This window comes from Homo sapiens, chromosome 11, assembly GCF_000001405.40.
Source record: "Homo sapiens chromosome 11, GRCh38.p14 Primary Assembly".
Classification (NCBI taxonomy): domain Eukaryota; kingdom Metazoa; phylum Chordata; class Mammalia; order Primates; family Hominidae; genus Homo; species Homo sapiens.
In genome coordinates this window covers 116,355,949-116,371,143 of record NC_000011.10, presented here as the reverse complement: position 1 = coordinate 116,371,143, position 15,195 = coordinate 116,355,949, and the positions used below count along the sequence as shown (strand labels likewise).

General features: G+C 47.8%; 1 long non-coding RNA gene across 1 annotated transcript in view, besides 4 other annotated features; it reads left to right on the top strand.

Annotated features, from left to right (window-relative positions):
• LOC107987166 (uncharacterized) overlaps positions 1-15,195 on the top strand; it is a 160,015-nt gene that overhangs the window by 103,082 nt on the left and 41,738 nt on the right. The gene's annotated exons all lie outside the window — the stretch shown is intronic.
• Positions 3,348-4,085: an enhancer, noted in NCBI's record as "H3K27ac hESC enhancer chr11:116237776-116238513 (GRCh37/hg19 assembly coordinates)". NCBI's record gives its function as "activates a minimal SCP1, AML or CMV promoter by ChIP-STARR-seq in naive H9 embryonic stem cells {active_cell/tissue: H9 hESC(naive)}" and the evidence as "EXISTENCE:reporter gene assay evidence [ECO:0000049][PMID:30033119]".
• Positions 10,693-11,193: an enhancer, noted in NCBI's record as "H3K4me1 hESC enhancer chr11:116230668-116231168 (GRCh37/hg19 assembly coordinates)". NCBI's record gives its function as "activates a minimal SCP1, AML or CMV promoter by ChIP-STARR-seq in naive H9 embryonic stem cells {active_cell/tissue: H9 hESC(naive)}" and the evidence as "EXISTENCE:reporter gene assay evidence [ECO:0000049][PMID:30033119]".
• Positions 12,067-12,930: an enhancer, noted in NCBI's record as "H3K4me1 hESC enhancer chr11:116228931-116229794 (GRCh37/hg19 assembly coordinates)". NCBI's record gives its function as "activates a minimal SCP1, AML or CMV promoter by ChIP-STARR-seq in naive H9 embryonic stem cells {active_cell/tissue: H9 hESC(naive)}" and the evidence as "EXISTENCE:reporter gene assay evidence [ECO:0000049][PMID:30033119]".
• Positions 12,931-13,794: an enhancer, noted in NCBI's record as "H3K4me1 hESC enhancer chr11:116228067-116228930 (GRCh37/hg19 assembly coordinates)". NCBI's record gives its function as "activates a minimal SCP1, AML or CMV promoter by ChIP-STARR-seq in naive H9 embryonic stem cells {active_cell/tissue: H9 hESC(naive)}" and the evidence as "EXISTENCE:reporter gene assay evidence [ECO:0000049][PMID:30033119]".

The window sequence follows — 15,195 nt, the reverse complement described above, 5'->3', positions numbered from 1 at the left end:
CCCAGCTAAATTTGAATTTCAGACAATAGTGTTTTTTTGTTGTTGTTGTTGTTTTGGTTTTTTTAGTGTAAGTATGTCTGAGGTTCACATTTAACTGGGTATTCTGTATTTTTATTTGCAAAATCTGGCAACCGTACACCCCCACCCTGTTTTAAGTGCTTGGTACATTCTAAGTGTAAGAGGCTGAATCGAGAGGCATGACCTCCTAATTGGGGCAGGACCCTTGGACCTGCTATCCATATATCAGATGTCCCAGGAAGGGTTGCTCCTCTTTTTCAGGTCAAGTGAGAAATTAGCAACCTTGAATTCTGGGGCAATTAAGCATTTGTGGAACTCTCACACAGTGGCTTGCAAAATCTCCATTTGATGGATAAATCATATGGGAAAATTATATTCTCAACCTATAATCCCAAGAGCATATACCTGGCATTGTTTTTATCAGGTAGTTACTTTGCCTTGCAGTCAGGGTGCCCATAGCACCTTCCATTTATCCTTGTTGTGGTTATCTACCCGTGAGCTCCTTGATGGCAAGGTTGTGTGTGGGCCAAATTTGTGTCTTCAGCACCCAGCCCAGAGCTGGCACATGGCAGACACCTCAATATGAGTTGATAAAATAAATTCATGAATAAATGAACTTTCCTTGTATTCTGACCAAGGCCCCTGAGTAACCAGAGTTGTCATTTATAAACCACAAAGTGTTAAATGTACAGAAAATGGCCCGGGTTAGAATCAATCTTAAACCCACTGGACCAGGCATTGGACCATGGGCCAGGATCTGGAGGCTCAAATCTGGAGGTAAATTCAGGTTTTTTTTGCTAGTATTAGGTACTCTCAGCTAAGTCCCTACACCTCTCTGGGCTTTGGTTTCCTTGTCTATAAATTGAGAGACTCATGCTTGGAGGTCTACAGCCTAGACATTCTGAGACAATTCCATCTGTGCCAAGCTCTGCAGCCCAGCTTTGAGTGGATCAAGTTGAATGCTGCATCTTGGATCTAATCTGAGTCCCATTGCCTGGTAAGGCTATGCATGGTAATGTCCCATCTTAGAAGTCCAGGAGAAGGCTCAATTGATTGCATGATGTCTGCTGGTCCACTCTTGCCGTTGTCTGTTTTTGGTTTCAGTTGCCACTCTGTAAACAAGGACCAGGCTTGGCTCTCTAGTTCCCTAAGCAGGAGGGCAGAGGAGGGAAGTCCCACCCTTCCGGACTTTGCTTGCCATCCAAGCTTTCTTTGACTCTTGGCCGCACCTCAGATATTTCTTTCCCGACCCTGCAGTCAGCCCAGATTTATCCCGCCTCGTGTCTCTCATGTAAAATGCATCTCCCGACACTTTACCAGGTTAAATGATTTAACAGCCGAGGCAGAGAGAATTAGGGGTCCGGGAGCAGGAGGCAATGCCTGCTTTTCAGATGAGATTGGAAAGGAGATGGAGATTGGTGGTGATGATAATCTCTTATTTTAATAATATAAAATAACTGTCCCACTGAATCAGAGTGAGCGATGAATTCTGTGGCCTGGGGTTAGAGACAGCCCAGCCTGGAGAAGAGAGCTGGGGGGATGTGGAGATGCCTTTCTGTGGCTCCCTCTCTCTTGTCTTTCTCTTTTGAGGATTTGTGCCAGCATCATCCTGTGACTGCCCCTGAACTGCCATCAATAAAAATGCGGGTAGCCAGGAAGACTGAAGGGGAGAGTGATAGATTTGGGGAGTGTGTGTGTGTGTGTGTGTGTGTGTGTGTGTGTGTGTGTGTGTCAGACAGACAATGAATGAATGAATGAATGAATGAATACAAATCTGGGGAAGCTGATAACCACTGTGGTCATCATTTTCCTTTATGATCCATTGCTAGGAGATACTCCAATCTGTGACCCTGGAAAGGGGTCCGAAGGTGAGGGTCTAGACCAAATGACCCCTAGGAGATGTGGAGACTGCTAGCTGGGGCAGTCACTCACAGGAGGCTTGGTCTCATCCCATCAAACTGCAGGGGGAGTGACCTACTCCTCAATTCGTGCCTCAATGGGCAAACACATGTTGAATCCCTATCATGTGCTAATCTTCCTGAGGTTGACTGGGCCAGACCAGGGAGGTTCCACAAGGAGCCGGGTGGTGGGGAACAAACTCTGTGACACATGTCAGCTCAGCAGGGCTCCCCTGCACAGTGGGCTGCTAATAGCTGAGGAGCTGTAGACCTGTCTTCTTCCCTGGGATTAATTCATTACTCCAGCCCTACTCGGATTCCGTCAGGTTCAAACGTCAGAATTTAATATGAAGCTAATGAGTCAAATGCTCTCTCTATCTCTCCCTGTCTGGGGCTCACTCTCTTTCCCTTTTCTCTCTCTGCAAATCATTGCAGATGCCAGGGGTCATGTGGGTTGGAGCAGAGCTATGGCTGCCTGGGCCGCAGAGGGGCCTTCCTCCCCTTCTTTAGTGAACAGGAAACCTGCTCTCTTTACTGCACTTGTTTATCGTGAAGATCAAAGTGCTAGGATGATGGAAGCCCACTCCTGCTGGGGTTCCCTGAGTCAAAATCATGGGAACACACGGAGAAGTGAGGAGAACTGATAACAGGGAGAGCCTGATTCCTTGCACTTGGAATTGCTGCTCCTCATTAACCAACAACCGTTTCTGAGAACTCATTATGTGTTGGGTCCATGCTAGGCACTAAGGATACAAAGTTGAATGGGTTGATTGGTTCATGTTTTATAATAAATGTTTAGTGAATATGTAAAGAGGCAGTGGGGTATGGTTGTTAGAGTAGAAGGCTCTGGAACAAGACTTCTTAGGTTTGGATCTGCTGCTCACTGGTTGCATTAACTTAGGCAAGTTTTTTAGCCTCTTTGCCTCTATTTTCTCATCTGCAAAATACAGATAACAAAACAACATTTTCATGCAGTTGTTATGAACATTAAATGGGTTGATACAAGTAAAGCTAGCAAATACTAAATAAATTTAGTTATTGTTCCTATGTGGTAAGAACTTAGGGTTCCAGTTTCTTTTCTGTTTTTTTTTTTTTTTTTCTTTTTGAGATGGAGTTTCACTCTGGTTGCACAGGCTGGAGTGCAATGGTATGATCTTGGCTCACTGCAACCTCCGCCTCCTGGGTTCAAGTGATTCTCCTGCCTCAGCCTCCTGAGTAGCTGGGATTACAGGTGTGTACCACCAGGCCAGGCTAATTTTTGTATTTTTAGTAGAGACGGGGTTTCACCATGTTGGTCAGGCTGGTCTCAAACTCCTGACCTCAGATGATCCACGTGCCTTGGCCTCCCAAAGTGCTGGGATTATAGGCATGAGCCACTGCGCCCGGCCGGGTTCCAGTTTCTAAAATAGAATGAGCCAATATTGAATAGCAGCTTACCTTGTATCAGGCAATGTGATTTATACGCATTAACTTATTTAATCCTTACAATAACCTTATAAGGTAGGTCTCATTATCTTTATTACCGTTTTACACAGGAGAAAGCTGAGACTAAGGTCTGCTCTTGCTGAAGGGCACCCAGCTAGAAAACGATGGAGCTGGAATTTGATCTTTGCTCTGTTGGACTCTGAGTCTGGGCTTTTGGCCACAGTTTGATGTCTTGGGGAGACAGAACATCCATAATTACAGAAATAATATTATCTTGTAACACAGGTCCAAATACAGCACTGTGGGATCCACAGAGAATGATGTGGCTGTCTCTGTTGAGGGAGGTCAAAGAGGGTTTCCTGGTGGAGGTTGAGTAAACATTCCTTCAGTGTATGGAGTAGGGCAGGCAGGAAGCAGAAGGGCCGGTGAAAAGCAGGGTGCATTTGGGACCCTCTAACTAGAATGGCTGGAGGGAAGGTGAATGACGGGGAGTGCCCAGGATTGAGACTGGGAAGGCAGGTGGGGAATGCCTCACACAGGGTGCTGTTGACTGTGAATCAGACATAGGTATTCTGTGAGAACAATGGGAGGCCAGGAATGTGAGGCTGGGGAAGTTGCACAAGACATGCACTATGGAAAGCTCTTTCCCTGCTGAACTGTGGAATACAGATGAGGGCCTGGGAGGCCTGAGGCACGGAGGATGCTTAGGGCATTGCTGCAATTGCCAACTTGTTGCTGTAAACAGGATGACTCCACTCTCCATCCAGGAGACCAGAGGGTGAGTGTAAAAGGAAGAATGGGATTTACAGGTAAAAATGGAGGTCGTGTCTATTTCTGATCCTGGGAAGGAAACAGTGTGACCCAGCCAGGGAAAGAGGGTGTCAGCTCTCAAGACTGCCTGGAAGTAGATGAGTGAGATGTGGATGCACAAGGGGTGCAGAGCAAGTTTATCTGAGAAGAGAATAAGTTTTAACTGACATTTAGTGGTCAGCAAACCAAGCATGCATAGCCAGGGAGGCAGGCAGGTGAGAGGACTATTCCAGGTTCAAGTCAGGAGGGTCTTGAGTTGGAAGAAGGAAAGCCTCTGCTGGGTTAACACAGGAGGCACAGGCAGGGGCACAAGCAGAGGGCAGCGTCCCAGGCAAAATGTGCCCTGCTGGACAGAGCTGGCAGTGTCAGAGCAGCAGCTTCAGTCTAATGGAGGTAACTAGGGACCCAAATGGGAGACCAGACAGATTCAAGAAGGCACTGAGGATCCCATGGCACCTGGGAGAGGGCCAGCCTTTATCTGCTTGGAGAGAAATTCAAATATCTCTTAAGTATTCAGCAAAGAAAATCTTGAAATGGCAAGAGACCACCGCCTGGGGCCCTCAAAGGCTGTGCCCAGCAAGTCAATATTTTGCTAAGTGCTCAGTTTGCAACCAGAAACAATCACTCTGCAAACATATTTCTTTTTATAATTCTTGGTATTTTTCTCTTGTTTTCCTTGCAAAGTTTGTTTTCTTCACCCCTCTTCAATCCCATTTTGGGCATATTTGCAGATCTAAGAGGGAGAGCTATGCCTCCGTGGCTGGCTGGGGTAGCAGCCACAGTCTCAGTCAAGAAGAGCTAAAAGCAGGTATCTGGAACATGCAGAGAGGTGAGAGCAGGGCCTGTCGGGCCAAGTGAGGAGGGATTTTGGCCATTTTCCACTGTGGCCGTGCCTTTGTGATAGGTGGCATGTAGCTCTGATGGAAATAGTCAGGTGGCCCAAATAAATGGAGACCCACGAAGGCTTCCCTGATCCGTTCTTTTTAGAACAACCATAGCTGTTTAGCTAGAGCTATTCTAAAAAGCTCTGTGACTCATGCTTGGCCTTATGTTATAGTCATTCTTGCACATGGCTTGCTCTCTGTACTGGGCTGCAAGCTCCCTGAAGGCTTTGCTGCTGTCATACTGCTATTTTCAACATGGTGTGTTGGATCAGGGGTGGGTGGGTCCCAAGTTCAGGCTCCAGTCCCCAGAAAGGCAACACTTAAGAATGATCTCAACCAGAGATTCAAACTGTGTTGCAAGCCAGCCCATCAAAATGGGAATCTTGGAATAGGGTTCACCACAGAGACCCAGGGATTCTACCTGGGGCACTCAGGGTGAGGATGGGAGAGGGACCTGGAGATTGGGCAGAAGGCAGAGGCACCTTGCTAGAGCCAAGAAAGAGGTAAGAGATTACTTTCCATCTCTATCACCCAGGTCACTGCAATAACCTCCAAAGTTGTATCTACTCTTCAGTCCAGTGGTCCCCAACTTTTTGGCACCAGGGACTGGTCTCGTGGAAGACAGTTTTTCTACAGACCATGGCCAGTGGAAGACAGTTTTTCCCACGCACCAGAGTGCATTACATTTATTGTGCACTTTATTTCTCTTATTATTATATTGCAATACATAATGAAATAATTATACAACTCACCATAATGTAGAATCAGTGGGAGCCCTGAGCTTGTTTTCCAGCAACTAGATGGTCCCATCTGGGGGTGATGGGAGACAGTGACAGATCATCAGGCATTAGATTCTCATAAGGAGCTCACAACCCAGATCCCTCACATGTGCAGTTCACAATAGCGTTTGCACTCCTATGAGCATGTAATGCCGCCACTGATCTCACAGGAGGAGGAGCTCAGGTGGTAATGCAAGCAATGGGGAGTGGCTGTAAATACAGATGAAGCTTTGTTTGCTCACCCGCCGCTCACCTCCTGTTGTGTGGCTTGGTTCCTAACAGACCATAGACTGATACTGGTCCCCCAGGGGTTGGGGTCCCCTGCTTTAGCCTGTCCCTGCTTCCAGTTATCAGCCAGTTGACCATCACTCTGTATCCCTCTCCATTTCAAAATCCTTCAATGACTTCCCATGGCCTCAGAGAAAAGCCCAGACTCCAAAGCCCTAGTTGACTCAATTTTCCACTCTCTGCTCCCTCCACCCATGCAACATTTGCTGTTCAAGACTGTAGCTTATTTATAACCTTCCCCCAACTTAATGTACTTTACAATTTCCTGCCTGGACACCTTTTCAGAGGCCTCATCCTGTTTTTGCATACGAACACCTACAGCCACTCCCTGAGCCCAATTTAGGAAGACTTTTTTTTTTTTTTTTTTTTTTTTTTTTTTGTGGCTTCCCTGGCCCACATTCCTTTTTGGGCTAACATCTGGTGAGTGTGTACCATGTGCCAAGCACTTTATGTGTGTTATCTCATTTAGCCCTCTCTGTAGCTCGAGTACTTCAGCTCTGCTATTAATTCCAAAGGTGAAGTACCTTGTTCAAAGTTACATAGCTGGCAAGTAGCGGAGTCAGTAGTGAACCCTGGCGCTTTGAAATCCCAAGTATTGTTCTTAATCCTGTCATATACAAAATAATCTGTTGATCCTTTCACTTGCTATGTAAAGAATACATACCCTCCTCTCCCTTCTGTCACCCTCTGGCCACCAAGGACCATGGGTACTATGTGAAAATGTAGAATTTGCGATTTCTAGTTTGGAGGCAGCGTGATACTGTAGAAGAATACTGAACGAGAACACAGGAAGCCTGTCTTCTGGCTCTAGTACTGGGCAAGTCACCTAACCTTTCTGAGGCTGTTTTTTTCTTTGTTAAAAGCAAAGGATAGGCTGGGCACGGTGGCTCACACCTGTAATCTCAGCACTTTGGGAGGCCGAAGCAGGCGGATCACCTGAGGTCAGGAGTTCGAGACCAGCCCGGCTAACATGGTGAAACCTCATTTCTACTAAAAATACAAAAAATTAGCCAGGCGTAGTGGTGTGCACCTGTAATCCCAGCCACTCAGGAGACTGAGGCAGGAGAATTGCTTGAATCCGGGAAGTGGAGGTTGCAGTGAGTGAGCTGAGATCGTGCTGTTGCACTCCAGCTTGGGGAACAAGAGTGAAACTCTCCCCGCCACCCCACCCCCGCAAAAAAAAGCAAAGGATAACTTCTATGACGGGCCCAGTGAGGGTCAAATTAAGTAAAGTTCATGACAGCACTCTGTAAACTGCAAAAGTAAGGTGGAATTATTATTATTATCATTTTTATTATTACTTTTCAAAGGTGAATTATATCTTGAATAGAATACTAGGCAGTTTGCAGACAGGGTGTCCTGAATAGCAAAGGACACAAGAGGAAGGTCTGCAAGCAGATAGTTGGAAAACTCTTGAAAGTCTATTGGAGTTGGTTAGCTTTAGTCAACGCCAGCAATCAGGTCAAGATACCTCCACTAGGATGCCACACAGGCAAGAATGAAATAAACTTCAAGGTGTTTGTGAAGCTTCTAATATTGGACAATTCTGGGGAGACCCATCAATTTCATTAGAAAACTCAGTGGCATCCGTGGTCCCAAGAAAGTTTAGAAAACAGTGGCCTAAGGAAAGGGGTTTGGCCATGGAATGTGGCAATAGCTAATAGCTGGGAAGAGGGTTGCTTTGATTCAGAAACGTAGGCATAGATGGGGAAGTCCTAGGGGTGACTGGGAATGGGGTCCCATGGCCAGCCTATTTGGAGCCCACCTGGCAAGGTCCTGGACAAGCTGTACTCCAGGCTAGTGGGGGGTTTTCTAAAGAGGCAGCCTTATATCTACATATGGGGTCAGAACTGTCTAGAGACAAGAGGGATATCCAGGGAGCAGCAAGTTCCCTGTCATAAATGTTCAGGCACTGGATGAGCCCATCACGGGCTTTGTGGAAAGATTTTAGCATTATGTAGACTGTTGGGCTAAAAGGTGCCTGCATTTCCTTACATCTTTGAACTGGTTGTTTCTCTGATGAATGTGTTGAGCAGTGTTAAGCAGGCAGCATCACTTAGGTGAATACCCATACTGTATCTACCCTGGGCCCCCCAATTCCTCAACCTGCTGTGATTCCAATTTTGTATTTCTTAGATGGCTGTGCATGAGATTGTTCCACAGCTCACACTGAAGAGATCAACATGGAAGAGAACAGGTTTGAGCTCGGTCTTTGAGGCCATGTCTAGGTAGGAGAAAGTTGTCTTTGTGGAGCTGTCAGAGCCGAGAGCAGACTGTGTTCCAGAGAGCAGTAGACAGACCCAGACATAAGGTGTTTTGAGAAAAAGGGCTTTGCTCTCAAATGTGTTTGGAAAATTCTGGGTGAGACAAAGTTAAACAGTTTTTGTTTTTGTTGTTGTTGTTGATTTGCTTGTTTGTTTTACTTCTTTGAACCTGTGACTTTCCAGGATGGGAGCATGATATGCAGTTATCTCCTGGTTTTGTTTTTTTGTGTGCATGGAACCTTTTCTTCCTCCAAGGGGCAATTCTCAGGGCTAATGCTCCAAAGAATATGCCAACGTTGTCCAAGACAACTTGTCAGATGCTTTCTGTCTTTTCCACTCCCAGTCTGTCTCTCCTTTCATTTCCCCAATCCTTCTCTGCAGCCAGGATTCTGTAGGGAGACATCTGGAGCCTCAAGAAGACCCTTCCTCAGCCCAGTAGGATTTCTGCAAGTGGTATAGGTTTAGGCGTGTAATGAATTTAGATTTAATTTGCAAGTGAAAAAGCTTGCTTTCTTTTGTAGCTTACACCAAAGCTCAAACGTCTAAGCTTCCAGGGTTTAAGTCTAATTAACTGTATTTCACAGCTTATTTAAAGAAAAGAATGGAGGCATTAAAATTGTAAAATCTAATTTTTGAGTAAATCTTTCAGTGCAAAATTAATGTCGCAGTATTAGAGCCGCCTTGGCAATATATCTCTTGTCTTCAAATTTCAAAATGAGCTTTTGCAAACATGAAATTATTCATTAGACTGTCTGGTAAAGAGATAAATAAGTGTCTCTTCAAATCCTCGATCTCCTCTTCTCTATTTAGCCAAAGACGGAGTTATTTGGTTTGAGGGGCCAAGAGGGTTGATCAGATTTTTGAATTTCGACAGGTAAGGAGAGAAGCAGAAAAGCAGAAGCTTTTGTCTGTCAAGGGAGTTGGGACACAGACAATCCCTTCTTTGTTTCTTAGTCTACTCCTGAGGGATCAATTGGCTTTGGGGATCAATGAAATATCTCAGCAGTTACACTGGAGCCAGGGGCGGGGTCTGCTTGGGCAGCCAATTGGCTGAAACATCCAGATTCTCTAGTACCTCCAGGTGAGCATTTTTCCGTTCATTCTCATCACTAAGTGATCAGCGTCCTGTCAGGCCCATCACTGAGGCATCTTTAACTTCTGAACTCTTCTGTTTGTCCCCATTGTTATGGTCCCAAGTCAGGTTCTCACCCACCTGCCTTTCCATTCTCATCTGCCACCTCTTTCTCTCCTGGGCCCCATGTCGTGGCCTCACTAGATGTGCCCAGTGTGTCCACAGTTCTGAGCTTTGCACAAGCTCTTACAGAACCCAGACCACTTCCTCAACCACTCCTCCTGCCCACTAAACTATGAGTTCCTCCAGGACAGGGAAGGTATCCAGTTCTTTGTACCCTTATTATCTAGCACAGCACCTGGTATACAGAAGGTGCTCACTAAATGTTTGTTGATGATGATGAAGATACTAATGAAATATATCCAAAATGGATATTCAGGAACTTCAGGTTAGTGCTTTCCAACCTTTCATTTCACTTGGTAGCTGTTTCCTTTTAGCTGCAGTATGAGGCTGGTGGGGACCGGAATGGAGGAGCTGGGTGTGGGGGTGCCTCAACCTGGAAGAGGTCATTCTGAGGGATCACGAGGTATGGAAAGAACACCGCTGGGTGAGAATTTAGCACTGCTCCCTACTCCCCAGCTGAATGTGAGCAAGCTGCTTCACTTTTCTGTTTCCTGACCTGCAAAATAGGAATAGAAATGCCTGGGCCACAGGAGTTCTGCAGAGGCGACATGGAAATCATCCATATGAAGTACCTCATACTCTTGCCTGGTCCAAGCAGGCCTCCAGAAACGGGTAGCCGCTGTTTATGAACATTGTACAATGAAGGGATGAGGTTTAAGCATGCTAACGTTTACATACCAGTACCAGCTTCTTTGTGTGTTTATTAGGTCTTCTGTTCATTTATTGAGTCATTCAATAAATATGCGTTATCCTTTTGTACTGAGTATCAGGAAGGAAGCTAGATGCTGGAGACATGGTACTGAATTAGGCCTCCATTTCCTGCATGTCATTAGAATCAAGCATCATTTCTCATTTCCCTTGGCAGTGACCAGCCCAAGCTGCCAGGGTCTCTTGTCCAATCTATCTCAATAGCCTCCTAATCTGCACCCCTCTGTTTTGCCTCCTCCAATCCATTTCCCACAGAACAGACAGATGAACATTTTAAAATGCAAACTGACCACATGACTGTTCTGCTAACACCCTCGGTGGCTCCTGGTTGCCTGCTGGACATGGTCCACGGGCTGTCACATAGCTCATGAGGCCTGGCAGTGTCCCTGCCGGCCCTTCAGCTCCATTTCTTTGCGCATCCCTACCGCATGCATACAGACGGTCCCACCAGCCTAAACTGCTTCCAGATCCTGGAGTCTGCCTTCCCCCAAGTTATTCCCCCTGCCTGGAATACACTTTGCTCCCTTCTCTCACCACCATTTGCCTGGTGTTCGCCTAACATCTACTCATCCACATTTTGGTTTGATCAATTCCTCCCTGGGGGCCTTTTGTGACTCTGGATCAGGAGGTGCTCTTTTCAGGAGCCACCCCTGCACCCTGCACCTTGCACCTCCCCATCATGGCACTGCCTATGTTTTGTTTATCTTCTCTCCCCACACCCATCCCACACTGTTATATTCAAAAGAAGCAGAAGGCAGACATCCAAAAAGTATTGAGAAATGATTTAAATCTTTTATGAAGCTGCTTGGAAAATGCCAAAGGGGCATTCGTTCCTAACATACAGCAAAAGTTTTAAAAACCTCTTTTCTCCCTCCCCCTGCTTTCTGTCAATACCCCACACAGTATGGCAGCATCACTACATTCTCTTTCCCCCACTAAACTCTCCCAAAGCCATCCCGAACACAGTCTTTTCCTGCTTTGATTTCTCTCACTCCCTTCCTGCTTCTAGATTTTCACTCATAGATAACTCTTTACTTTCATTCTCATTTTTAAATTTAAAAGTGAAAAATTCTGCCAGGTGCGGTTGCTCACGCCTCTAATCCCAGCACTTTGGGAGGCTGGGGCAGGCAGATCACCTGAGGTCGGGAGTTTGAGACCAGGCTGGCCAACATGGAGAAACCCTGTCTTTACTAAAAATACAAAATTAGCCAGGCATGGTGGCACATGCCTGTAATCCCAGCTACTTGGGAGGCTGAGGCAGGAGAATCACTTGAACCTGGGAGGTGGAGGTTGTGGTGAGGTGAGATCACACCATTGCACTCCAGCCTGGGCAACAAGAGCAAAACTCCATCTCAAAAATAAATAAATAAATAAATAAAAGAAAAATAAAAATTCAAATATTCATACGAAAACAGAACATAGTAAGAACATAGTAAGACAAACACTCATGCACCTGCCACAGATTAAAGAGAGGTGAGCATTTTGTTTACTGGCTTAGCTCTCTGCCCTTTCTCAGCAGCAGGTCTGGTGGAGGTGGTTATAAACGGTGGTCATGCAAAGATCACAAACAAGGGAAGTGGTCTACGTGATAATAGGGAATGGTGGAGACTGTGGCAAACTAGAGTGAATATGCCCTGCACAGAGAGGCTCCTTGAAGAGATGCCTCTCAAAAACAGGGGACTCGATTGTCCTGTTCACCTTGGTATTCCAGCACTTGGGATGGGACCAGCCCCATGCTTAAACGAAAGTACGAATGAATGAAGCAATAGGGGCCTGGTGTGACCAGATTTCCTAGTTTACCATGAGAGGCCAGGAATCTGAATCTGAATGAGAAATCTGAGCTTTAACTGTTGGACATTATCTCAAACATCTTTTAAAAACTCACTATGGGGCAGGTGCCCGTGTTGGCAGGTATGATTTCTGACCCAAGCTTGCTGGGCTTCTTGAATTCCCTCTTTAGCCTCCACCTGATTTCAACACTTCAGAAAGGGCAGGCCCAGAGGTTGCCCAAAAGTCCATGGCTCCTTCCTCTTCCAAGGCAGGGGAGGTGGGGAGGAAGGCCGGGAATGCTCATAAGCAGATATGCTTTGTCACTGCCACGCTATAAGTGTCAGGGGCGCCGGGGGCAGTCTCCTGTTTACTCGGAACCCCCAGGCCCAGAGGGACCTAGAACGTTTTAGGTGTTGAGCACACGTGTGCACAGGGAGGGTGGGGTGAGCCGCCGTGGGCTCTCCAGCAAGTTCCCTTGGCAGGGGCCCTGATTGCTACCTGAAGAGCACCCTCCACCCACGCCCTACCCGTGGGCATGGGTCCGGTGCTGCCAGGGACAACAGCTAGCTGAGTACAGAGCCACCCAGGGCAGGGTGGGGCGGAGCACTGAGTCTTGTGGGTTCTAGTCCCAGCTTTGCTAACCACTGGCCGTGTGACTCTAAAGAGGATACATCCCCTCTCTGGCCTTGCTTGCCTGTGGGGTTTGTGCCTTCCAGCTCAAACGCCTTTGATTCCAGGCGGGGCGACAGCATAGGGAACGCAGCAGGCGGGGCGCGGTCCTGCAGCGCCGCGTGTCTCGGCAGCGCCGCCTACAGGCAGGCAGAAAACCCATCTCTGGGGCGGGTGGCTCCCCAGGCAGGGTGCACGCTGTTTGTTTTTTTCCGAGAAGTCTTGGTCCGATGGGAACTTCTTTGAAGTAATCACTTCTCAGAGCCAATTAGTGTCTGACTGCACTCTGAAATGAGCCAGAGGGGAGGCGGAGTGGGCTGATTGTCTTGCTGCGGCAAAGGCGGTGGGCGGGGAGTGCGTCTGCAGTCCTGGGAAGGGGTGTACACTGGGCCGTGTAAATAGGTGGCCTCTTCGCCTCGCTCAGTCCTTGACGCTTCTTCAGCAGAGTGTGAGCCTAGGAGCGGCTTTCAGGAGCGTGGGCCTAGAAGGCCGCCAGGCGGAGGAGAGCAGGAGAAGGCCTTGGAAGGCAGGGCCACTTTGGGGAGTGCGACCCTGCCCCATCCCAGCTCCGCTCCTTGTGAGCTGTGACCTTGGCAAGTTGCTTCGCCTTTCTCAGCTCCATTTCCTTTATGCTAAAATGGGAATATCTAACTGTCCACTTGGCAGGCTTGTCGTGAGGATGACATGGGTGCCAAGGCCCTTTGCGAAGGCAACAGGAGGGCAAGTTACTGCATCTTTTCAAGCTTCAGGGTTCTCTCCTCTGTAGAAAGGGCTGCTGAGCACGAGAGTGCGTATGAAGACTTGACGTGCGGCATGGACTGAAGGACGATTAGTCCGTCTTGGCATTACTGTTAACTATGCACACGGCGCACAGGTACATAGACTGTGGCCCCGAGGGCAGGTTTCAAGTCTCTATAATGTGGGAAAACATCTCAGGGTACTACAGTGAAGTTTTCAGAGGGAAGACTGAGTCGTGGGTAGGGGTGCACTGATGGCTGAGAGGGAGCAGGGCCCTTGCAGAGTGGGGTCCAGATGGGCTGGGCTTGGGGCAGGATAGGGAGGACAGGGTCAGGAAGAAGCCGGGGGACCCATGGCAGAACCACCTGCTTAAAGAGTGGTGGAGTCAACATAGGGCTCAGAGGAACCTCAGAGAGGACCTTTTATGAAGATGCAAAGTGGGGTAGAGACTTGGCATGGGACAGCTTAGCAGCAGATCCAGGCTTGGCCTTGTACTCCGGACTTGTGGTCCAGGACTCTGTTCTCAGTCCCCACAAAGGGCACCTTCACTCCTTGGCCCCACTGAGGCTTCCCAGTCATCTTCTCACAGTCACTTGTACCTTGTGGTTCTCCCTTTACGTGGAGCTGCCTCGCCTCCTCTGCACACTCCCAAGGGTGGGCTCCAGCTTGGTGAGCTCCCACCTGTGCCTGCTTCTCGGCCCCGGCAGGAATCCTCCAGGGAGCTGATGTGGCTGTGCCTTTTCTGGGGCCAGGCAAACAGGAGCCTTCAGGCCCACTGTAGCCTGGTCTGGGATTCCAGAAACATTTAGAGGCCTTTGAAACCATCAACCTTGTAAGCTCGGATTCCCGAGAAGCGGGATAAACAAACCTGAGCCCAAGAGGAAACTCATTCTTCTTTCTTTCCTCTGCCTTTCAAACTCATCAAAGTCAAATTCTCAAAGCTCTACTGTCTCACAAGTGCCTTCAAATGGGTCTCATTGTTTTATTTATTGTGCTTATCACAAGTGCAGGCAGCCTGGAGATTTCCGGGCCAGTGGAGACCTCTTTCAAGGAGTGTTGACATTTCTGGGGATCTGAATGGTCTTCAGTGTCTTTCTTTCCCTGGGCAGACCTGATTGAGAGAGGCGGTCGCTAATAGGGGTTCCCAGGTGGGTCGTTCCTGTAGGGCTTTCAGAGCCTGGCAGGCCTGGAACACTTCATCTGTATTCCTCTGCCCCAGAGCAGCCAGATCTGCAACCAGCCCAGATTGACATCCTGGTTCTACCCTCAGACCATCCTGGTGGGACCCTGTCCTGCAATGTAAGGCTCAGCAGCTGTACTGATGAGAGTTACTGTGACCTTTTACATGAAACAACATTAAATAAATATGAACCAAGTAACTACTGTGTGTGTATTGGGGGTGGGAAAGGGAGTGAGGAGGCCTGCCCCATGGTTTTCTATGGCCCGCAGTCCACTATGGGAGGAGGAAGAATTTACCCATTGCTCTGCGACCTGGCAGGCTGGGAGAGGTGCAGTACTGAGGCAGAGAGAAAGTGCTGGCGGAAGAGAGATGGATGCTGATGTGGATGGGAGAGGGAGACCTCATGAAGGAGATAAAGTCTGAAGGTCAGCAGAAAGGCAAGCGAAGGATGTGTAAGGTGGAGGGGACTGAAAAGCAAAGGCAGAGAGGCGAGGAGTGCAGGTGAGTTT